The 24005-nt window shown below is 57.0% G+C and overlaps 1 protein-coding gene and 1 long non-coding RNA gene across 6 annotated transcripts in view, besides 3 other annotated features; one reads left to right on the forward strand and one right to left on the reverse strand.

Annotated features, from left to right (window-relative positions):
- The window catches only part of MAD1L1 (mitotic arrest deficient 1 like 1), a 417151-nt gene that overhangs the window by 159598 nt on the left and 233548 nt on the right, over positions 1–24005 (reverse strand). For all 5 annotated transcript variants that reach the window (NM_001304524.2, NM_001304523.2, NM_001013837.2 and 2 more), the window contains one exon: positions 5061–5149. In NM_001304524.2, coding sequence (NP_001291453.1) covers positions 5061–5149 — 89 coding nt within the window. The remainder of the gene's footprint in view (positions 1–5060; positions 5150–24005) is intronic.
- Positions 4372–5571: an enhancer, noted in NCBI's record as "MED14-independent group 3 enhancer chr7:2019399-2020598 (GRCh37/hg19 assembly coordinates)". NCBI's record gives its function as "activates an origin of replication core promoter dependent on BRD2, BRD4, P300/CBP and CDK7 cofactors, and independent of MED14, by STARR-seq in HCT116 cells {active_cell/tissue: HCT116}" and the evidence as "EXISTENCE:reporter gene assay evidence [ECO:0000049][PMID:35650434]".
- Positions 4766–5417: an enhancer, noted in NCBI's record as "H3K27ac-H3K4me1 hESC enhancer chr7:2019793-2020444 (GRCh37/hg19 assembly coordinates)". NCBI's record gives its function as "activates a minimal SCP1, AML or CMV promoter by ChIP-STARR-seq in primed H9 embryonic stem cells {active_cell/tissue: H9 hESC(primed)}" and the evidence as "EXISTENCE:reporter gene assay evidence [ECO:0000049][PMID:30033119]".
- Positions 5117–10947, forward strand: LOC124901573 (uncharacterized). The gene is made up of 3 exons (XR_007060190.1): positions 5117–5197; positions 8271–8384; positions 10861–10947. It is a non-coding gene; the product is annotated as an uncharacterized LOC124901573 (long non-coding RNA).
- Positions 22676–23397: an enhancer, noted in NCBI's record as "H3K4me1 hESC enhancer chr7:2037703-2038424 (GRCh37/hg19 assembly coordinates)". NCBI's record gives its function as "activates a minimal SCP1, AML or CMV promoter by ChIP-STARR-seq in naive H9 embryonic stem cells {active_cell/tissue: H9 hESC(naive)}" and the evidence as "EXISTENCE:reporter gene assay evidence [ECO:0000049][PMID:30033119]".

Consider the following 24005-nt stretch of genomic DNA (forward strand, 5'->3'; position numbering starts at 1 on the left):
GGTGGGCAGCAGGAGCGGCTGCAGAACAGGACAGAACCAGGGAAAACCAGTTCCACTTTCCCAGGCTGAACTCTCCCTGGCGGCCTGGGCTGGGCACGGTGAGCTCAAAGATCAACCCACTGCCCTAGAAGCTTGGCAGGCAGGGACTGTCTTTCCAGTTACCTCTATGTAGTTTCATGAGGGGACTTAGAGCAGCGGTGTTTAATGGAGATTTGTTGGATGAAAGATGATAATTTCTACAAAAGAACATTAAAAGTCTAGCACCTGGCCCTCTGGAAAGGACGTGGGCCTGGGCACTGGGTCCCTGGGGTGTGAGTGGAGATCACAGAGTGTCCTGAAGAGTGGGGACCTCGGGTGAGTGGGGTCATGGGTCACCTCTCGTCCCCTGAGGCAGGCCGGCGTCTCCAGGGCCCCCAGCACCTCCCGGGACCCAGAAGACATCACACGGCCGGGAAGCGAGGGTCCGAGTGTGACTAGCAGGCACTGGCACAGATAGGCAAGCCTCTGGAATTAGCAAGCGTCTAACCAGTTGCTGAATCTACAGGCAACATTTAGGATTTGCTAGAGCTGCTATTTGACAGCAGAGAGGACGGGCTCAGATTTGTTCTGGCTGAAAGGGCTCCTCAGCTGCTGCCTCTTAAAAATCCCCACCGACGCTCTCTCTAGCTTCAGTGTTGAAAAACGATGCTATGTGATACATGTCATTCACATACAACAAATAAATGGATGTGAAAATGTGAGTGTGCATCTGGGCAAGAGCAGGCACACATGTGTGGCTGTGCATGTGTGTGTGAGGACCATCCCTGGTCCTCCTGTGTCCGAGATTGGTGGGTTCTTGGTCTCACTGACTTCAAGAATGAAACCGTGGACCCTCATGGTGAGTGTTACAGTTCTTAAAGATGGTGTGTCTGGAGTTTGTTCCTTCCGATGTTCGGACATGTTCGGAGTTTCTTTCTTCTGGTGGGTTCGTGGTCTTGCTGGCTTCAGGAGTGAAGCTGCAGACCTTCATGGTGAGTGTTACAGCTCTTAAGGCAGCACGTCTGGAGTTGTTCGTTCCTCCCAGTGGGTTCGTGGTCTTGCCGGCCTCAGGAGTGAAGCTGCAGACCTTCGTGGTGAGTGCTACATCTCATAAAGCAGTGCGGACCCAAAGAGTGAGCAGCAGCAAGATTTACTGCGAAGAGTGAAAGAACAAAGCTCCCACAGCGTGGAAGGGGACCCCAGCGGGTTGCCGCTGCTAGCTCTGGCAGCCTGCTTTTATTCCCTTATCTGGCTCCACCCACTCCTGCTGATTGGCCCATTTTACAGAAAGCTGATTGGTCTGTTTTGACACGGTGCTGACTGGTGCGTTTACAAACCTTTAGCTAGACACAGAGTGCTGATTGGTGCATTTACAAACCTTGAGGTAGACACAGAGTGCTGACTGGTGAATTTACGAACCTTGAGCTAGACACAGGGTGCTGATTGGTGTATTTACAATCCTTTAGCTAGACATAAAAGCTCTCCAAGTCCCCACCAGATTACCTAGACACAGAGCACTGACTGGTGCGTTTACAAACCTTTAGCTAGACACAGATTGCTGATTGGTGCATTTACAATCCTCTATCTAGACATAAAATTTCTCCAAGTCCCCACCGGACTCAGGAGCCCAGCTGGCTTCCGACAGTGGATCCCACGCCGGGCTGGGGGCAGAGCTGCCTGCCAGTCCCACGTCACACGCCTGCACTCCTCAGCCCTTGGGTGGTCAATAGGACCAGGCGCCGCAGAGCAGGGGGCCGCGCCGTCGGGGAGGCTGGGCTGCGTGGGAGCCCACGGCTGGGGGTGGGTGTGGGCTCAGGCATGGCGGGCTGCAGGTCCCAAGCGCTGCCCCACGGGGAGGCGGCTGAGGCCCAGTGAGAATTCGACTGCAGCGCAGATGGGCCAGCAGTGCTGGGGGACCCAGTGCACCCTCCGCAGCTGCTGGCCCAGGTGCTAAGCCCCTCACTGCCCGGGGCCGGCAACGCTGGCCAGCTGCTCGGAGTGTGGGGCCCGCCAAGCCCACGCCCACCCAGAACTCGCACTGGCCTGTGAGCACCACGCACGCAACCCCAGTTCCTGCCTGCGCCTCTCCCTCCACACCTCCCCGCAAGCAGAGGGAGCCGGCTCCGGCCTCGGCCAGCCCAGAGAGGGGCTCCCACAGTGCAGTGGCAGGCTGAAGGGCTCCAAACAAAATGGTGGGGACGAGAAGCTTTGACCTTGATGTAAAAGATATCAATGATAAAGGCCTTTTCTTAAATTGTAAAAATGAATAAACCCCAAGCATGCCAGCCCACACAAATCTGACACACGCCTGGCCATGCTCCCATCAACTGCAGAACGAGAGGTTCTAGGTGCCAAAAGGCCCAGCAGAAAGCAGAGTGCCATCTCAGAGAGCGGGGAGCCGTGCAGCGTGACGCAGGCTCCTGCGTGGGCAGCCACGGGCCGGGACACGCTGACCTTCCTGAAACCTTCACAGATGCTGGAAGCCACAGCTGCAACTCCCCAGATTTAAGAACCTACTCCACCACCTCCCACGTGGCTCCTGGGGACTGGAGGACAACGGTGGAGACCACCCTGCCTCGCGTGGCATTCAGGACCTTGCAGGGTCAGGCACCAGCCACACCAGCCCAGACCTTCCCGATGCGCTGCTGTGCACGGCCTCTCCCCCTGCGCCCGCGTGCCTCCAGAGGCCCTTTCTCCATGATGACAAGGTGTGGCCTCTGCTGCTGGTCCCAGCTCCCCCTCTCACTGCAGACACACATTGAAGCCTGTCTGGCACGTCATCCAGCCTTGGCCTTGGTGAGCTCCTGACCTGCCTGGGCTGCCCTTCTGGGCCATTCCTTCTGTCTCACTACACACTACCCCCTCTCCGAGGCCTCCAGGCCCGCTGCTCTGTGTGGCAAGGGTCTTTCTCCCCAGGTGGGGCTGCTCTTGCAAGTCAGGGTGTGTGTGGGAGGCATATTTTGCTCATCTCTGCAAAGGAAAAGCCAACTCCGGCTTCGGAGGGGCTCCCAGCACCAATGCTTGGTGAGCAGGTGGTGGGGACGGCCCCTCTGCCACTCTCCTTCCCCTCCCCAGGCCTGGCAGCCAGTGCTTTCTCCAGTCACATTCTTCCACTTTAAAGCCTCTAGTGCCTCCCACTGCTGCTAGGAAAGAGACTGCATGCTCACCATGGCACCTGCCCGGTCTCCAGCTTCCCCCACCCCACACCCACACTCACACACAGCCCCCAACCCCATCAACCCGAAGACCACACGCAGACGCACTTCCAGGGGGAGACATCCACTGTCACAGGACCACGTGCACCTCACAGGCTGTAACGACAGAGCCTCTAGGTGAAGAATGGCCCCCAGGTCCCCGAGACATGGAGACGCAGATGAAGACGGAGAGCGCGTCGGGGCCCACTCACCACTCCATCAGCCTCCATGCTCGGCCCTAAGGACGCCACGGCACACACTCAGTATCTGAACACTTGAACGGCTGAGCAGATGTAAATGAAACCGCTCAGACTCCGGCAGATCCCAGAGAGGGCGATGTGTAAGGCACAGCCCATGCATGAGGAATGCTTCAGAGACGCTGGAGGAACATCGAATCTAGAAGGCATCATAGCTGCCATGTGCAGAGCACTTCCTGGGCCGGGGCCACACTAAAGGCAGCCCTTTTCCTGCTTTACTCTCGGCAACCCTGAGAAAGAGGGGCCATCCACAGGTGAAAACTGGAACCCCAGGGAGTGGGTGTGACGGACGAAGCAGAGGCTGCTGCCGCGGGGGGTCCAGGGGCCCACACACCAAAGCTGTGTGGCCTAGGAAGGGTGCTCTCTCCCCACTGCCACCCCCATCTCACTGCAGGGCCATTTGATGTCCCCTGGAGCTGTCTCAGTCCCCTGTTCTCAGTTCCTCTGATGACCAGGAGAAACCCTGGATGCCCAGGGCCTGGCCTGCTGCAGACACTCAGAGCAGAGGAGTGGCCAATGCAGGAAAGCCATGGGCCTCCTGCCACCCCACCCTGTGCCCACAGCCACCGCCTCCCACATTGGATTCTGGCAGGATACTCGGGTTGCCCCACAGCCACTTTCAATCCGCACTGGATGGGGCAGCGCCAACACAGGCACCAAAGCGGAGCCCGGAGCTCCACCTGCATCTGCCTGGAAACCTCTTGCCTGAGGACCCTGATGGGTCCACAAGGCGGGGGAGAGGCAGAGAGCTCTAGAAAAGCAGCCCGGCCTGCAGACCCTGCTCTAGGGGCGCCGTGTGCAAGCAGGAGCTGGGGTGAGGGTGGCCTAGGACAGTGCAGTGGCAGAGAGCTGGCAGCATGTCTGAAGCGGAGCCCAAGGGCTGCTGGACACGCCTGGCTGCTGCACTGCCTGGGCTCTGCTCTGAGCCACACTCCCGTGCAGCCATCTCGGCACAGCACTGCCATGCAGCCCCTGCGGCTGCAGACCCGGCTCCAGCGCCGCCCCCTGATGGAGGACCTGCTCCCTTCTGAGCGTCAGGGACACTGAGAGACCCCTGCTGTCAGTGCTGGCTGGAGAAGTGCTGCTGAAGAAAGGGCCACACCAGCAGAGACGAGTGTCCCTGCAGAGAGGAACCTAGGTGGATGGGATGGGACTTACAAAGAAAAGCCCTTCCAGGAAGGCAGCAGAGGAGCAAGACTTTACTCCAGCCACCCACGGGGGAGCACACAGAGAAGGTCACGGCCTGGAGAGGGGGACAGGAGGCTGCCGGTGGACGTGTCTCCCGCACTCCCCTCCTCTGGAAAGGGCACACCTGAGCGTGCGCACCTCCCCGCTGGGGGACACGCCTGAGCATGTCCACTTCCTTCCTGGGGGACACGCATGAGCGTGCCCACCTCCCCCCACCCCACAGGACACACCTGAGCACGTCCGCCTCTTCCTCCGTGGGACACACCTGGGCGTATCCGCCTCCTCCCCCACAGGACACACCTGGGCGTATCTGCCTCCTCCCCCGCAGGACACACCTGGGCGTATCCGCCTCCTCTCTGGGGGACACACCTGGGCGTGTCCGCCTCCTCTCTGGGGGACGTACCTGAGCGTGTCCGCCTCCTCCCTGGAGAACAGGAAGCTCTGTTCGGCAGAGCTGGACTGAGACTTCAGCATCTTCAGCTCCATCTCCAGCTAGGAGAAAGCAAAGGATAGAGGGTCAGCAGACACGAGCGCACCCAGGTGTGTGGGGAACCCCAGCCCAGGCCCCTGAGACCACCCCTGGCAGCACCCCCGCCCTGGGCTGGGAGCTGCGGGAGAGACCTCTCTCCTGGAAGCCTGAAGCTGCCAGGCCAGACAGCACTCTAACTTTGCAAACTCAAGTTCTCTCATTTTTTTGTCACTTCCATCTCCTGAATAGCAACAGATGCACAGGCTCACGGTGAGGTGTGTGGGGTGCATGTGAGAGTCTCTGGAGAGTGGACACGCAGCTGGGGAGAGAGCACGCTCCAACGCTGCCGTCGGTTTGGTTTAACAGCCACAAGCCGTCGTTTATTCCGCTACTTCCAATTCCTCTACAGAACAGCGTGAGATGCTGCACCGCCCGGGAGGGAGCCTGGATTCTGTTTTTCTTTTCTGAGATGGAGTCTCGCTCTGTCACCCAGGCTGGAGTGCAGTGGCACAATCTCGGCTCACTGCAACCTCCACCTCGCAGGTTCAAGTGATTCTTCTGCCTCAGCCTCCTGAGTAGCTGGGACTACAGGCGCGTGCTGCCACGCCTGGTTAATTTTTTGTATTTTAGTAGAGATGGGGTTTCACTGTGTTCTCCAGGCTGGTCTCGAACTCCTGACCTCGGGTGATTCACCCGCCTCCGCCTCCCAAAGTGCTGGGATGACAAGCGTGAGCCGGTGTGCCCGGCCAGGAGTGTGGATTCTAACTCGCCCCTACACACCTAGGGTGGGAGGCATCAGGGGCAGCAGACGGTGGGGAGGCCAGGAGCCAGAACGGACTGCGGGCTCAAGGAAGAGCAGGGCACAGACGGGGGCCTGGTCAGGCAGGCTGGCGCAGGCTGAGGGGCTACGTAGGCACCAGCTCCAGGGCCCGGGGGTGCTAAGGAAGGCCCACCCAGAGACGCCCCTCACCACTCCTGGGGTGTCTCATGGACAGGATCCGATGGGTTTAGGGAGGTAAATCCTGCCCCTGGCCCAAGTCAGAACCTTGTTCCCACCAGTCCTGACCCACTCCAAAGCCCAGCTCACTCCGTCACGAAGGGAGGAGGAAGGGCAGTGTGGCCTCAGGGAGGGAAGGACAGGTGCCAGCAGGTACCACGGCAGCCGGAGGCCCCCAGCAGTGAAGCTGCAAAGCCTGCCAGACACCCAGGGTGGAATGATGTGAGGGGGACAACACCCCCTGGGCTGGGGGCCAGCAGGAGCCTGGGAAAAAAGGCACTGGGGCAGGGGGTGCACAGTGTGCAACAGGGCAGGATATGCTAATTACCCTGATCTAATCACCATATGTTACATGTACTGAAACATCACTATGTACCCCATAAATATATACAATTATCATGGGTCCATTAAAAAGAAAGATCCACAGTTCAGACAACAAACACGGATGCCCATGCCCTGAGCAGCCTGTCCCCAACTTCCAACCCCAGCGCCCCAGGCCCCCGACTCTCAGCCAGCCAACGTTCTGAGGTTTGAGCATATGTTCCTTCCGGAGGCTGCTGGTGCGCATGCCAGCAACATGTCTATGTTCTTCCTCCCACCACACTTCATTTTATTTAACAAAAATGGTAAGATGTCCTACACATCATTTGGTACCTTGCTTTTTTTCACTATATATATAAAATATAAAAATATATACATAAATATACATATATATTCTGAGACAGAGTCTCGCTGTGTCACCCAGGCTCGAGTGCAGTGGTGTCATCTCAGCTCACTGCAGCTCCCAGGTTCAAGCGATTCTCCTGCCTCAGCCTCCCAAGTTGCTGGGATTACAGGTGCACGCCATCAAGCCCAGCTAATTTTTGTATTTTTAGTAGAGACGGGGTTTCACCATGTTGGTGAGGCTGGTCCCGATCTCCTGACCTCAAGTGATCCACCTGCCTCAGCCTCCCAGAGTGCTGGGATTACAGGCGTGAGCCGCCGCGCCCAGCCTTTTCTTCTTCTTTCTAACTTATCTTTGTATACGTGATTTTAAATTTTTGTTTCCCGCCCCCTTCACTAAATTCCGACCGACAGCAGCAGTTCTCAGTTGATTCTCTTGGCACATAATCTTATCAGCAGCAAAGAGGGACGATTTTCCAATTTTCCTCCTCCTTCCCAATATTGATACCTTGGGTTTCTTTCCCTTGTCTACTTTGGATGACTAGTATCTCCAGAATAATACGAAATCACAGTTGTGATACTGGACATCCTTAGGTGGCCTGTGGCTTCACTGGAGCTGAAGCCAATACTTTCTTATTTACAGCACATGACCTTTTTTTTCAAATAGGTATTTTCTATCACAGTGAGAAATTACCCATATATTCCTATTTTATTAAGAGTTTTTAATCAAGGCTGAGTGTTGGATTTTGTCAAACGCCCCCATGAAGAGGGTATTCTATAAATTGATATCCTAAAATCAAGCTGACAGGCTGGTCCTGGAATAAATCTTACTGCATATGATGTATTTCAACCTGCTGTTGAATTTCACTCGTGACATGTTAACAATGACACTGATACACGTATGCGCGTGCATGCACACACACACACGTGCACACACGCACACACACCCACAGACGCGCGCGCGCGCGCGCGCGCGCACACACACACACACACACACACACACACACACAGGCTTGTAAGGCCTTTGCAGTTGTTGGTGTCAATACAACACTTCCAGAATGCCTTCCCCTCCTTTTCCCACAGTCTGAACTGGTTTACACAGTGCTCAAAGTATCTGCGCTTTGAAGATCTGGTAGAATTTTCCCATGAAACTGGCTTGGCCTGATGCATCTTCTGTTTCTTTCCTCTTGTGGTGGGGGAGAGCAGCCATGGCAATTTTGGGACAACGTTTTTCTACAGTAATTGATCTGTTTAAAATTTCTCTCTCTTCTGGAGTTGGGATTGATAGGTAACATTTCCCTAAAACGTCATTCATTTCCCACAGATTTTTAAGTTTATTAAAATGGAACTGAGATATAATTCATAATTCTTTTTATAGAAATCAGACAAAACTCATAATTCTCAATTTTTTAATTTTTGCTTTTCTTTCCCATCGAGGTATACATAATTTACACGCAGTAAACTTCTCAATCTTATGTGCACAGCCTGATGGCTTTTTATACATGTCTTCACCTACGTATCCACCGTCCAGATCAGGACACAGAATTCTCAGCACGCCTGAAAGCTCTCGCATGCTCCTGCTCAGTCAATAGCTCCAGGTAATTAGTCTTGTTTCCTATTTTGGATGGTGATACTTTCTATCAATTTTTTATTAGAACTGTGAATAATTCATATGTTTTATTGGTTTTATTTCAAATAACAGGTATTTGGACTTATTTATTATTTCTACCATTTTTCACTTTCCTATTAACTTCTGCTTTGATCTTTACAAATTCCTACCTTTTTGTTTCACTAAGGTTTACTTTCCTTTTGTTCTCTGACTTCTTGGGTTGAAGGTTTAATCCATATATTTACATGCTTTCTTGTTCAATGATATAAATATTTAAACTTGTGAATTTAGGTGGTTCCCACAGGCTCTGATGAGAAGTGTTTTCATGACAATTATTTTCTACATCTTATGCACTTTTGAATCGTACTTCTTTGAACCAAGAATTGTTTAAGACACAGTGTTTTGTTCTGTTTGGGTTTTGTTTTTTAAATTCCAAGTGTTAGGAGCTTTTTTTTCCCTGATTTTGTTCTTGATTTCACATCACACTGCAATCACAAGAAGTTGTATTAGTTCTACTTATTTTAATTTATAAAGGCTTTCTCTATTACCGAATACACAATTAATCTTTGTGAATGTTTTCTATGCACTCCTTTTAACATGAGTATATTCTCTAATTTGGGGGATATGGGTTTTACGCACATATGTATTTTTCTGTTTTCCATTATTCTTTGCCCACTTGCTATATCGCAGATTAGGACATAAATCCTGCTACTGGCATCTTTGACAATTTCGCCTTGAATCTTTCCTCATTTCTGCTTTTCCCAACAGCGGTGATGTGTTATTTGGCTAACCCATCTGAACCTCACTGTGAAAAGCGCCCACCTTTGTTTCTGAGCGGCTTCTGGCTTGAACTCACACTGCATGGAGATCATAGCTCCTGCTTTCCAGGTTCACTTCACCAGGATGCCTTTGCTTCCCGTACTTTCCAACATGTTTGGTTTTGCTTTGCAATCCAATCAGGAAGTCCTTTCCTTTTAATAGGAGAGTTTAGTCCAACTATAACTGGATTTGTGTCTATTTCTGTTGTATTATGTTGTTATGCTTTCGATTTTGTAGCTTTTACATCTATCTCATTCTGTGGCCTTTTTAATCTAGTTTACTTTTTTGCGTGTAATTCTCTCGAGGCTTAGAAAAGTGTGCATGTTTTACCCTGGTTGCTTTTATAACTCAGCTTTGTTTCACACCGATACTTTCCTACTAGACAGTACCTACTGTATCTCCTATGTTGGGTGCCTAACTAGTCAGATACATCATCCTCCCTGTTGAACTTTATAGTCTGTGACGGTTCATTCCATGTGTCCACTGGACAGGACCTGGGGTACTCAGATCAAAACACTTTCTGGGTGTGTCTGGGAGGGTTTGTGGATGAGATCAGCATTTGAATCGGGGACTCAGCAGACGGCCCCGGGCAGCATGGGTAGGCCTCCTCCAACCCCTTGAGGCCGGAATGAAATGAAAACTGGAGGAGGCGACCGTTCCTCCCTTGCCTGCCTGGTGGCCTGAGCGGGGCAGCTCCCGTTTTCCGCCCAGGACTGGGGCTTTCACCACAGGCTCCGCTGGTTCTCAGGCCTGCAGAGCGGACTGGGCACAGCACAGGCTCTTCCAGGTCTGCTGTGCACAGATGCAGACCACGGGATCCTGGCTCCATGGCCAAGAGCGAGGGCCTCACAGTCACTCTCTCGGGATAGACCAGTCTACCGCACCTGGTGCTCTAGGGAGCCTAACATGCAGCTCGATCTGCTCTCCCCACCTGATACTACCTTTAGATGGTGTGTCTGTGTCTTCGGCTCTCAACAGCGAAGCCGCCATCCTCATGTTCTCTCCTCCCTCTGCCATCCTGACACTTCTTTTTGAATACATGACATGTAGCACTTACATTTCCAGGCTTCCACATTCACTTCATCTTCCAATTCAGGAGATGGAACTCTTGCTGCGGGTTCTTTAGGTAGTTTTCCCCGTGATTCGCCTCCCCGTGCATCCGGTCACCTTCCTTCCTGTACTGCCCCCTACTGCCCCCTCTCCTGCTCTGAGACCCTCCGGGTCCTGTCTCATGCAACCCCCGGCCTCACCGTCTCTTCTTGGAGCGTGTGCGTTCCGCCCAAGCCTCACAGACTCTACCGCCTCGTTAACTTTTGTTTCTTGGCAAAATGTCTGGATAGAATTTTCATCTGCTCAATGTCCACCGTTTTTCTGTGAAACTTTTTCTGCCACTTGTTTTTGTTCTTTTTCTCCTTTGCTCTAACACAAATGCATGGAGTAACCTTTACTGCTCACTGCTGAAGATGAGTTTTATTGAATCCGGCTCCGTGCACAGGTTCACAGTGGGGAAGGACAGGCCTGCTTCCTTTTATCTGAAATCCAGTGACAGTTTTGCTGCGAGTCCAATCAGCCCCCAGTAGCTCCCTCCGGCAGGAGAGAAAGGACACCGTGAGTTTTCCTAAGAGCAAATGTTCTGTCTGCCACAGATGCGGCTTCAAGTACGTGTGATGCACCTGTGTGACCCCTCAGCTCAGCACCAACCTCTGCTGCAGCTTGGAACCACACGCCAGTCCAGCTTGGAACCACACGCCAGTCCAGCTTGGAACCACACGCCAGTCCAGGGACCCCCGTTCCAGCTGCCGCCGGCCCCCGCACTGCGGAGCCAGGGTCAGGGGCCGCCTCTCGCAAGGGCTCACGCCGGCAAGGGAGTTCTACTCCGCGGCTCCCTCGCGCCGGCAAGGGGGTTCTACTCCGCGGCTCCCTCGCGCCGGCAAGGGGGTTCTACTCCGCGGCTCCCTCATGGAGCTGCCTCCACCCGCACTGCTCCAGGCTTCCCCGGGGATGTGTCTGCTCACTGCGTCTGCTCACTGCACTCTCCTGCACCACGGGCTTCCTGCCTCTGCCTGGGGCTTGGTTTGCAGCTGCATTTCTGTTTTGTCAAAATTTAAGTGCCATTTTGGTTTTCACGCTTCTTGTTATTTGTAGATGATTTCCAGGAAACAAGGGGGAAATGCTGACGTGTGCCACAATGTTCAGAGCAAAAAATCAAGCCCTTTTATTTTAATGTGTAACCTTAGACTCATAAGTAAGCTCCCAACTGTATTCTCAGAGTAGCCAATGCCTGCCCCCTTGAGCCTGTGCCCGACACCCCCAGCCATGCTGCAGGTCCTCCACCCACCCTGCACCTCCCCGCCAGGCCAGCTCTCACCCCTACATCCCCCTCCAGGCCCATGGCACAGGACAGTAGCCACAGAGGGCCAGACCCATGATCCATGTCTGTGGGCCACCTTCCACCTACACCCCCCGCTCCCATCCACCATTTAGATCCAGTGGAAATGCCGCCTTCCCCACAATCTGTCCTGGCAGCTCCCTCACCCCTCCCCTGCCAGCTGGAAGTGCCCACCCCCACTCCTCTGTGACCGCACCCTCTACTCCACCACACCACATGGTGACTGGGCACGTGACTCTCCTCCCCACTGGATGGGACGTTCCCTGGAGGAGACGTGGTAACCATGTAGGGCCCCATTGCCAGCACAGAACCTGGCACACAGTCGGTGCTTGGACGGGCACACGGGTGGGCAGATGGTGGGCACAGACGCGGCAATGGCCACTTCCCAGGCACGTCCAGCGTGTGTGCGGCCGAGCTCGGAACGGGGAGGTACTGGGGCGGGTCTAAGTATCCCGGATGAAGCGAAGAGAGCCGCCCATGCTGAGCACACAAGCCCCGGAGTCTGCTCTGCTGTCCGCCAATTTGAGAAGCCGTGTAGACATATCAGTATTTAAGGGAAGGAAAGCCATCGGGGAGGGGGGGAGAGGCAGGTGGGGGAAGAGCAAATGCGAGGATGGTCCCGGGGTGCTCTCGGCACCAACTGCAGTGCCCTCGCCCAGCCGCCGGGCCCGCACGGCAGGGCCACGGCCGCCCGGCAGCCCCGGCTCCACGTCTTTTCTCCTGCGGGCTCGGCAGCCGAGAGTGGAGGGTGCAGAGGGCTCCTTGTGAGGACCTGTGGGACTCGCTGGCAGGGCACAGGCCCGGGGCAGCAGCGTTCTCAGAGGTAACTCACAGGCACCTGTGCCTCCAGCCCTCACCGTGACGACGGGGATACCACCACCTGTCCCTGGGTGGGAAACCCGGGCTCCCAGGCACGGGACCATGTCTGAAGCTCCGATCTCTGGGGCAGCCTACAGCCTAGGGAGGAGGCTGAGCTGGCAGGAAGTCAGGCAGGCCCCTAGGAGGCATCCTCACCGAGGACCTGTAGAACACCTACTCACACCCGGGGCAGGCCCATGAGAGGCGAGGAGCGGCAGGAGGCCCGTGAGGGAGGGGAGACCCAGAAGAAAAGGAGTAGCAGGTAGATGGAGCAGCGTGCGGAAGCACGGGTGGGAAGGTGGGATCCAGGAAGAGGGCGCTGGGGACAAGGAGAGGGCCCTGCTGAACGCTTCCTGACATGGCGGAGGGCCCATTCATTATTCATCCAATGGTCACAGAGCAAGACTCACCTCCCACACCTCCCAGGGGCAACTCTGCCGCTGCATCAGGCAGCGCACACAGCAGCCCGGCCGTCCCCCGTTCAGGTGGCACACAGCAGCCCAGCCATCCCCACCACAGGGACCTGAGGCCCAGGCACTTTGTGGAGCGCCCAGCCTACAAGACTTCAGCGCAGACAGATCAGGGCCCCACCAATGCAGTGACAGGGCAGGGAAGCCCTCCAAAGCCAGGCCTGGGGACAAGACACTGCTCTGGGCCTGGCCCAGGCACAGAGCACTCAGTACCTAAAACTTCGTTTTCTGTGTTTACTCCCTCATGCCTGTGTCACGGTGGCTGTGAAGCAGCAGCACAGTCCCTGACGGACTCTCTGGAGGACCCGGCCGCGCTCCAGGGTGGCCCAGGCGCACAGCGTGGCTGGGGAGGGCAGCGCCACAGGCAGACTTCTTGGGAAGGGCCGTGATCCCACGGCAAAAGCCTGGAGGACAGGATTCCCGGCGGCCAGGGCTGCCTTCCAGGGGCCCTGCGTGTGCTCCGGGCAGTCCTAGCACTGAGCCTATCCTGTGGAAATCATTCTCTCTGGCCAAACCCTGTGCCCGCACCAGGCTGCAGGAGGCAGGGCCACGTGTGCCTGGCCCCTCCATGCCCCTTCCCAAGGCCCACAGATGGCCATCTCCTCCCTGACAAGGCCCTGATGCCCAGCAAGACTGAGAGCCCTTCCTGGGCTGCCTCACAGGAGCCCCTTATATCACATACCTGAGAAGGGTCTAGTGTCTAGAACACATGAAGACTTACCACTAACCAACAAAACAACCCATTTACAAAGTGGGCAATGGATGGGGCAGACACTTCTCCAGAGAAGACAGATGCGTGGCTGATAAGCACAGGGTGAAGTTCAGGACCACTGGCCTCAGGGTAACGCAAACAAAGCCACGGGAGCCACTCCACACCCGCCAGGACGGCTCTAACGAAACGTGGAAAATTTCACACCCGCCAGGACGGCTCTAACGAAACGTGGAAAATGGCGGCACCACTGTCACTTCTCTCACGCCCAGGAGCGTTCATTTGTGTCCTCTTAGTTACGATTAGTCTGGCTAGAGGTTTATCAATTTTATCTCACAGAAACAGATTTTGGTCTCATTTACGGAACTCAACTGTATGTTTGACTGAGATGAAGCAACCTGTTGATCTCCGGTGGGGCCGACAGGGAGAGGGGAGCAGAAAGCCAGGCACGGGCTGGGAGCCCTCGGCGGCGGGAGCCGCCTCACCCTGGAAGACGGAGCTCGCACAGCAGCATGTGCGCTGCCCAGACCCAAACTGGAACAGGTGTGGGGACCCTGGGAGAGCAGCCTGAGCGCGAGCACAGACGTCCCGGCAGCGCTCCAGCCTCAGCGTGGACCAGCCCCAGCGTGGACCAGCCCCAGCGTGGACCAGCCTCAGCGTGGACCAGCCTCAGCATGGATCAGCCTCAGCACAGGTTGGCTTCAGCATGGATCAGCCCCAGCGTGGCCCGGCTTCGGCATGGCCCAGCCTCAGTGTAGGCCGGCTGGCCCCATGTTCCTCTGCCTACAAGGTCCCTCCCTCCTGGAGTACAGGCCTGGCCTACCAGATCCACTCATAGCCCCAACCTTCATGAAACATTCATGCTAATGGTCCTTGTGGCAAACTCACTAGCGCAGCATAACCTTTAAATAGAGACCTTGCATTCGGTTTAATTTGGGAAGATGCAGGGTGTGCTCCCAGGGGCCTTCCCTAATGCCACAAACTAATAACAAGAGGAGGAGCTGGGTAACTCCCCCCACCGCAATTCTAATTAACGAGGCTGCCGCTGAGTGCCAGAGTGAGGGCGTCCACATGCGCGTGCACCCGCCGCCTCATCGCCAACTCACGTGGCATCGCTGAGTCTCAGCTGCAACCTGTGCCCGGGAGGTGGTGAGGCTGAGGCCCAGAGCCTCACAGAACCCTGGCTGCAAGGTGAGGGCTCACATCCCAGGGCTCCCTGGGGCTGACTGGGGCAGAGGCTCCAGGTCTCCAAGAGATGAGAGGGTGCTGAGGTCACAGCTGGGCATCCTGGCCAGAGGCCACCTTTCCGCTCAACTCTGCACCCTCTGGCACCAGGAAGGCTTCTGGAGTGGCTGTGGCTTCCTAAGGAGGCCTCGGGGGGATCTTAGGTGGAGTCCACTCTCCAGCTTCCTTTCCAGCCTGGAGGAGACACAGGCGCTGTGGGCCATGGACAGCCCCCTTGGCTCACCCAGACATTTCCTCGTGAGCACAGATGTGCGCCTGAGCTGGGAAATGCTTTCTCCTCAGAAAAAAACAGCCCAGCCGGAGGGCATGTCCCGGCCGAATGTTCGCCTGATGCACCGCCCCTGGGATGAGGCCGCTGCAGAACCAGAGCAGCTGTGCTTGGAGGAACCGGGGCCTCACCACCAGGGCTGCAGCGTGCCCAGGGCCGCCACTGCTGGCCTCACGAGCACCGCTGGGTGCCTGAGCACCTGCCCCACCAGAGCGCCACTGCTGGCCTCACGAGCACCGCTGGGTGCCTGAGCACCTGCCCCACCAGAGCGCCACTGCTGGCCTCACGAGCACCGCTGGGTGCCTGAGCACCTGCCCCACCAGAGCGCCACTGCTGGCCTCACGAGCACCGCTGGGTGCCTGAGCACCTGCCCCACCAGAGCGCCACTGCTGGCCTCACGAGCACCGCTGGGTGCCTGAGCACCTGCCCCACCAGAGCGCCACTGCTGGCCTCACGAGCACCGCTGGGTGCCTGAGCACCTGCCCCACCAGAGCGCCACTGCTGGCCTCACGAGCACCGCTGGGTGCCTGAGCACCTGCCCCACCAGAGCGCCACTGCTGGCCTCACGAGCACCGCTGGGTGCCTGAGCACCTGCCCCACCAGAGCGCCACTGCTGGCCTCACGAGCACCGCTGGGTGCCTGAGCACCTGCCCCACCAGAGCGCCACTGCTGGCCTCACGAGCACCGCTGGGTGCCTGAGCACCTGCCCCACCAGAGCGCCACTGCTGGCCTCACGAGCACCGCTGGGTGCCTGAGCACCCGCCCCACCAGAGCGCCACTGCTGGCCTCACGAGCACCGCTGGGTGCCTGAGCACCCGCCCCACCAGAGCGCCACTGCTGGCCTCACGAGCGCCGCTGGGTGCCTGAGCACCCGCCCCACCAGAGCGCCACTGCTGGCCTCACGAGCGCCGCTGGGTGCCTGAGCACCCGCCCCACCAGAGCGCCACTGCTGGCCTCACGAGCGCCGCTGGGTGCCTGAGCACCTGCCCCACCAGAGCGCCACTGCTGGCCTCACGAGCGCCGCTGGGTGCCTGAGCACCTGCCCCACCAGAGCGCCACTGCTGGCCTCACGAGCGCCGCTGGGTGCCTGAGCACCTGCCCCACCAGAGCGCCACTGCTGGCCTCACGAGCGCCGCTGGGTGCCTGAGCACCTGCCCCACCAGAGCGCCACTGCTGGCCTCACGAGCGCCGCTGGGTGCCTGAGCACCTGCCCCACCAGAGCGCCACTGCTGGCCTCACGAGCGCCGCTGGGTGCCTGAGCACCTGCCCCACCAGAGCGCCACTGCTGGCCTCACGAGCGCCGCTGGGTGCCTGAGCACCTGCCCCACCAGAGCGCCACTGCTGGCCTCACGAGCGCCGCTGGGTGCCTGAGCACCTGCCCCACCAGAGCGCCACTGCTGGCCTCACGAGCGCCGCTGGGTGCCTGAGCACCTGCCCCACCAGAGCGCCACTGCTGGCCTCACGAGCGCCGCTGGGTGCCTGAGCACCTGCCCCACCAGAGCGCCACTGCTGGCCTCACGAGCGCCGCTGGGTGCCTGAGCACCTGCCCCACCAGAGCGCCACTGCTGGCCTCACGAGCACCGCTGGGTGCCTGAGCACCTGCCCCACCAGAGCGCCACTGCTGGCCTCATGAGCACCGCTGGGTGCCTGAGCACCTGCCCCACCAGAGCGCCACTGCTCTGACTTCCACGCTGGATACCCAGCCCCATTTACACTCACGGAGGAGCGTTGGGAAGCCAGATGGGTGGTGTCTCTCTATGTGGCTTCCAAGGGCTCCAGAACCTTCACTGGGATCAATGAGGCTGCCTCCTCAATAGGAGCAGTTGTTAACGCTGGGGAAGGGGAACAGGTGTCAGAAACCTTTTGAAGATGGCAACTGCTCTCTGGAGAAAAACGTGTGCAAGTAACGGAAATGTGTATGCAGCCTCAAGCGCTTTGTGGAGAACTGAGCACCTGCCCTGGGATGCTGGATAAAGAGCCCCTGCTTAGAAACAAGCCTGAATTTGAAAGTTCTCCCTACAGAAAGGGCCTCCCTCCCTCCTATCAGCTCCAATCCTACATCTGCCTTTTTAGGACATCTGAGGCCACCTCCTGTCCCTGTGAAGCCTCTCACTGTGGAAGTTAACTCTGCTGGGGGAGCTTGGGGAAGGCTGTCTGCCAGGGCTGCTGGCTGAATCACAGGCAAAAACAAGCCCCCAGGCGGCCCAGTCCAAGGGAAAGTCCCAGTGTCTCCAGGACAGGTGGATGTGAGGATGGCATGGGCTCTACGTCAGGGAGGCAGGCGGCAGGGGCAGGGGCAGGGGCAGGTGACACCATTGTGGGCCTGGGGCCAGAACGGGATCAGCTTATGGAAGATACACGTAGCTGAGAAAAAGCTTAAGCCAGAAAGGGCCACTGCAGAGACACGACAAGTTTAAATCACAGGAAAATGCTTCGTACTTAGGATGAGGGTACTATATTTCCCCTATACAGAATTACTCCCATAATTTTTCAAGATAAATGAACCGATTTCCTTTCTCGTGGTTATTATAGACTCGATCTAAGTTTCGTGGAGTGGAATGCACGGGGGACTTCACTGCTCTGAGTCTGAAGTGCCCACCTTCTCCTCATCCCCGCCCCCAACGCCCAAAAGATGCCCCCATGGGTCATATGGCAAGTGTGCAGACAGCAGTGACATGCAGGTGACTGAGATTCTAAACCACCCAGGAATAACCCTAGTAAGCAGTGGGCAGGACCCACAGTGCAGGGAGGGCACAGGGCTTCTGGGGGAGCCACAATGCAACCAGCTTGCCTTCCCATGTCAGTCCGCAGACCAAGGCAATGCAAGAGGACTGGCAGGAACCTTGGCAAGCTCCCTCTAAAGTTTACCGGAAAAAACATTGGAGAATATCTAAGATCATTCTGAAAGAGAAAATAACACAAAGGTCACGACGTATCAGACACACTCTGAGGCTCTGCTAGCTCACACACTGTGGCACTGGCCCAGATAGAAAACAAGCTTACGCCTTCCCTCTGCACTGAGATTTTCTTCTGTTTTTTGGAGGAGAAGCAGGGATCCAAATCCTCTACAACCAAGGCTCAGACATTATGCCTGAGAAATCTATTTTCTGGGCGAAGAAACCATCTTCTCAGCTACTTTTTCTAAAATGCAGATGATCCTTACAAGGTAACGACATTAAATCACCAGCATCTTCTCATAAGATCTTTGCAAACTGGTAAAAACTGAAAAGGCTGGGTCCTCACACTGGGAAAGGGGACAGAGGGAAGATGAAGCATCCTCCTCCCACCTGTCCCCACTCAGCACTCGGCAGATGCTTTAAACTCCCCAGCTGAATGCCTGGCCCTGGGCTAACGCTGGAGCCCCAGAAAGCCCTGGGTCCTGTCCTGGTGGATTTCACAGACAGCCTGATATGAGGAAGCCCCTGCAACTGCCCTGGCCACAGGGTCTGGGGTCAGCCTGCCTGGGTGTGAACCCTGGAGCACTCTCCACCACTGCCGGTGCCAACACGGGCAGGTCACTAATCCTGGCTGCCCCTGTTCCTCGTCTGAGTATCTGGGGCCACAACCAGCTTGTGGGTTTGCTGCCAGGATCACAGGGGGATAATCTGTGTAAACAACAAGTGTGTACTCATGACATGGTGAGCAACAGCACACACTGGCTTTGCACGTGCCACCGCCACACCCAGGGCAGCACAGGGACGATGGTGGCGGTGATGGTGAAGGTGCAGGCCCCGTGAAGGCAGGGAGGGAAGAGCGTGTCTGCGATGCAGGGGCAGCAGCACGGGTCCAGCTCAATTCCCAGGGGGCCTGAGGCTCCGCTGAACTGAAAAGACATCCTCAGAGGGGGAGCAGCACAGGGATTGCTTGGAAGGGCGTGAGAAGATGTGCTCAGAGGGTGGGGACATCACCGTAGGCAGGGCAGGCCCATCGGGCACTGAGGGACCAGGCAGAGACCCCCCAGTAGGAGGACTGGGCAGGGCAGTGAGCGCCCACCGGGTCTCACACAGCAGGAAGGAGGTGGGCCCATGCCATGGACTGTGTGCTCCCGCTCTCATGCTGAAATCCTAGGAGGGAGCCCGGGGAGGTGAGGAGGCCACCGGGCGGAGCCTCGGGGGGGGGATTAGCACCCTCATAAAAGGGACCCCAGAGCTCCCTCGCCCCTCCCACCGTGTGAGGACACAGTGAGAGGGCGCCATCTGGAACCAGGAAGCCTCAGCAAACACCAGACCGGCCAGTTCCTGATCCTGGACTTCCAGCCTGCAGAACCGTGAGCAACAAATGTCTGCAAGGGTTTTGTTTTATTTTATTTTTTTAAACAGAGACGAGGTCTCACTCTGTTGCCCAGGCCAGTCTCGAACTCCTGGGCTCAAGATTTCCACCCACCCCAGCTTCCCAAAGTGCTGGGATTACAGGCGTAAGCCACCACGCCCGGCCAACATCTGCTACTTTAAGCAGCCCAGTCTGCGGTGTTCCTGTTAGGGCAGCTGAATAGACAGATGCGCAGCCACAGGGTCTCTGTTCCCTCAGACAACAGCCTAGAAGAGGCACTCAACAAATGCTTGCTGAATTAGACAACTTCCCTCCAATGCAAGAGGCATTTAAAGCAAAGGTTGCTCCATGTGACACCTGCTGTGGCCAGCACGATTCCTTCCACTCTGTGGAGAAGCCTCGGGGGGCACCTCGGGGCACGCACTGAGGATGAGGCTGGACGCAGGGAAACCTGAGCTGGTGAACGGGCAGCGAGCCTGGAACCAGCCCCGGGGCTGCTGAGGAAGATCAGGCCCCTGTTCTCACCCAGAATCACTTCCCAGAACAGCCTGGATCTTCCCAGCACACGAACTCACTTAGCTTTGTGAGACTCCAGGGAGGCTCCCCGCTTCCTCTCTCCACCCTGAGGACCAGGCAGTGAAGCACCTGCCTGTGGCCACACAGCAAGAGAGGTGACAGGTGTGGCTGAGGGAAGGGACCAGTTGTGTGGGATGGAAGGGCGGGCGCAGGAGCCCCAGGCGGGGGGCCCAGGAGAGGCCGCCTCCAGGGCTGGAGAGGAGGAGAGTGAGCTAAGGACACAGTCTCAGACTTTGAGCCATTCCCCAGACCTGCCCCAGACACATCCCTGGCCCCAAAGAGCCTCTCCAAGCTCAGGACACCTGCACACCAGCGCGCGCGGGGACATACATGCTGGTGCAGCGTGAACTGAACAGGTTTCCAGGGACCAGGAGGCTGCCAGCAGCCATACAGAACCCCGGTGCCACCAGCCATACAGAACCCCGGTGCCAGCAGCAAGCCCCTCCAGCATGCCAAGCACGAAGCACTCCAGTCAGAAGTAGCACTTCGTCGTGGAGCAGGATGGGTCCGGAAGGTGAAATGAGGTACTGTCAGTTACCACACCAGGAGGCTCTCATGATCATTCATCTGCAGGCACTGGCCATGCTGCTGGATGTGACCAGACAGATTCCGGGCTGGGCACAGCCATGAGGACCAGCACTGACGAGGGGCTCACAGCTGCCTGGTCCATCTTCAGTAGCAGCACCAGTGAAGATAGAGGCACCAGCCACGCCTCCCGTGTGTGCCGGGCCCTGCCGGTCTACACACAGCTCCTGGGCATGCAGGGTCCCCCGGGTCTACACACGGCTGCTGGGCGGGCAGGGTCCCCCCGGGTCTACACACGGCTCCTGGGCGGGCAGGGTCCCCCCGGGTCTACACACGGCTCCTGGGCGGGCAGGGTCCCCCCGGGTCTACACACGGCTGCTGGGCGGGCAGGGTCCCCCCGGGTCTACACACGGCTGCTGGGCGGGCAGGGTCCCCCGGGTCTACACATGCCTCACTGGGAGTCTCTTCAGGGAAGCTCCGCCGGTGTCCTCAGCCTCCCATGAGAAGCCAGAGGCTCTGAGAGCCACACGGACCACAGGCTCCTGCACAGGAGACCCCAGAGAGCCTAGAGCTTCTTCATGGGCCCACGGGACCTGCCCTGCTCACGGTCGCCAGATTTCAGAATCTGTCTGTAAAGCACCTGCCGCTAGGCCCGACTCAGAGTGGGCCTCGACACCCTTCCCATTTCAGAGATGGACAAAGAAGGGTGGGGGACGGGAAGCAGCCTGTCCGGGCCTCAGTGCTGCTGTAGCCACGGCCCTTGGTGAGGCAGACTTGGCACAGGGTGCCCCTGGGAGCAAGGAGCAGGCACAGAGGGGCCACAAAGGGAAATCAGCAATCAAGGAAGATGCTGCTTAATCAGAGCTGAGAGCGGCGTAATTCCCTCTGAATCGGAAAATAAAGCTTCACTCCTCACTCCCCAAAGTCTATAAAATATTAGAGGATATTTTAGAGCTGAGAGCGGCGTAATTCCCTCTGAATCGGAAAATAAAGCTTCACTCCTCACTCCCCAAAGTCTATAAAATATTAGAGGATATTTTAGAGCTGTAATCAAAAGACTCCCATCTCCAGCCACTGCGGGCCTAGCTAATTAGGGGGGTTCGCTAATGATACGACGATGGCCCAGGAAATCTCTCCTTGCGATATTAATTGCATTTAAAGAAAAAAACATGAATTGTACTTATGCTTACTAATTAGTACGGGTTTGCTAATTAATAATAAGAAAGTCAGAGTGCCTTTGTCTTGTCATTGGCAATTAACTAAAGATTTAAATTTTTCTTTTTTCTCTCTTTTCTCATTTCCTAAATAACAAAATGACTTTGGGTTGGAAAATAGCAGGTAAAGGAGCTGCAGGCTGGGAGACGGGACGGGCACTAGGGCCATGTCCCAGACCACTGTGGACAGAAGGCGTGAGTGACACAGTCAGCCCTGCCTAGAATGTGGCTTCTCCACACAAGCCCTGAGGGTGCAGACCACCTAGGCCCCAGCCTTTCCAGGGACAAGGGAGCCCCTTCCCCAGACAGCACCCACTGCCGAGCCAGTCACAGGGAACTGGGTGGGAGGGGCCTCAGAGCCAGACCTGGGTGACTCCAGCCATCCCAGCTCAGGGCGAGCTCCCGCTCAGGTTCCTCCACCATAAAATGAAAAGGGAGTCAGGCTGTCCCGCAGCCCAGAGACCCCCTTCAGACAGGAACATGCACCTGTAACCCCCGGGAAGAAGCCATGACACTGAGGGCTCTGGGTCACACAGAGAAGGGGCAACCTGGAGCCCAGGGCTGCACAGCCCAGTGCGGTGGCGGGGGGCAGGGGAGGGAGGCCACTGGCCTTCAGGCATGCCTGGCAGGGGCCAGCCCCAACCACGGTGTCTGTAGCCCCCTTGCCTGGCACTGCTCTCCCCAGGACCTCCTCTGAAGGGCTTTGCATGGCAAGAGGGGCACACAGCCAGCGAGACCCCTCCTCTCGTCCCTCGGGAGCCCTGCGGCTCCAAACAAAGGACGGGGCCAGGAACAGGAGCTCAACCCAGGGAGGGGTAAAATCATGATTCTGCTTGGGGGCAATCCTCCCACCAAATTCGAAGTCAAATGCTGCAGCTTGGGGCCCAGGCATTAGCGCTTAAACGGTGCTGCGTACGATGAATAAGGAACAGAAATTATATGGGCTAAAAAAGAGAAAAAACACAGGTTGAAAAGCAGCCAAACCTCCAGCCCAGCGCTGCACCAAGCGCACCTCACAGCCCCCTGACCAGAACCAGATATCTGGAGAAGCCAGCACTCCAGGGGCGGCCACACCCACCCCACCTGAGGGCCCAAGACCAGTTTCTGTCTCTCTCCCCACAAAAGAGGACTGGAGTGAGCAGCTCCTCCAAAACCACCTGCAGCCAGACAAGGGCCGATGCCCGGGTCAAGATGCCAGCTCCGAGGCGTCCGTGCCTCTGTTGGACATGGGGAGTCCATGCTCCAGGGCAGCTGCAGGTGCCGGGCAGGTGGCTCAGCCATAATGCCGAGGGCTTGGCCTGTGCTCAGACAACTCCATTTCTAACCCTCCTGGCCTCCTGCACATGCAGAAGCATGGCCCCCAGGCACGTTTCAATTCAGGCCAACAGTGAGGCAGCCAGCGTGTTGACACACAGAACACCAGGGTCTCCACAGGGCATCTTCAGATGGGAGCATCCCTCCACCCACCCCAGGCTGTTCCAGAGGCAACAGGAAAAGGGTCCTCACTGAAGGGTCCAGAAAGCTCAGTCACTGAGAAGGAAGCACCGACAGCCCTCAGGGCTGGGAACTAGGAAGGCTCTGGGTGTGTCCCCCACCAACCCCCTGCCAACCCCCCGCCAAGCCCCCACACAGGCAGAAGAGGACCCTGGCATCCTTCCTGAACACCTGCACTCAGGGGAACCAGACCCCACAGTCCACAGACCCCCTAACCCCACTCACTGCTGGACACCAGACCCCACAGTCCACAGAGTCCCCTAACCCCACTCACTGCTGGACACCAGACCCCACAGTCCACAGACCCCACAGTCCACAGAGTCCCCTAACCCCACTCACTGCTGGACACCAGACCCCACAGTCCACAGACCCCACAGTCCACAGAGCCCCCTAACCCCACACACTGCTGGACACCAGACCCCACACTCCACAGAGTCCCCACTAACCCGCTCACTGAAGCAGGAGCATCTTTCAGGCCTGCCCTGAGCCATCTCAGATGAGGGCAGAGGAATGGAAACCGAGTCTCAGACCTGCCATTAAACAATACAGTTACAATGGGTTCCCCTGCAAACTACATCAGCAATGAAAGGTCACAGCAGAACACAGAGAGGAAAATAAACAAAACAACAACCCCACCCCCCAGTATTTCTACAGCCTAAAGAAAAACATGGTTGATACTCCAATTTCTCCAATTTTAAAACCCAGACCTGAGAAAGGCCTGTCCTGGAGCCCCCAACAGCCTGATTTTCCCTCCGCTGAGCAAAGCGTCACATC

This window comes from Homo sapiens, chromosome 7 (genome assembly GCF_000001405.40).
Source record: "Homo sapiens chromosome 7, GRCh38.p14 Primary Assembly".
Taxonomy (NCBI): domain Eukaryota; kingdom Metazoa; phylum Chordata; class Mammalia; order Primates; family Hominidae; genus Homo; species Homo sapiens.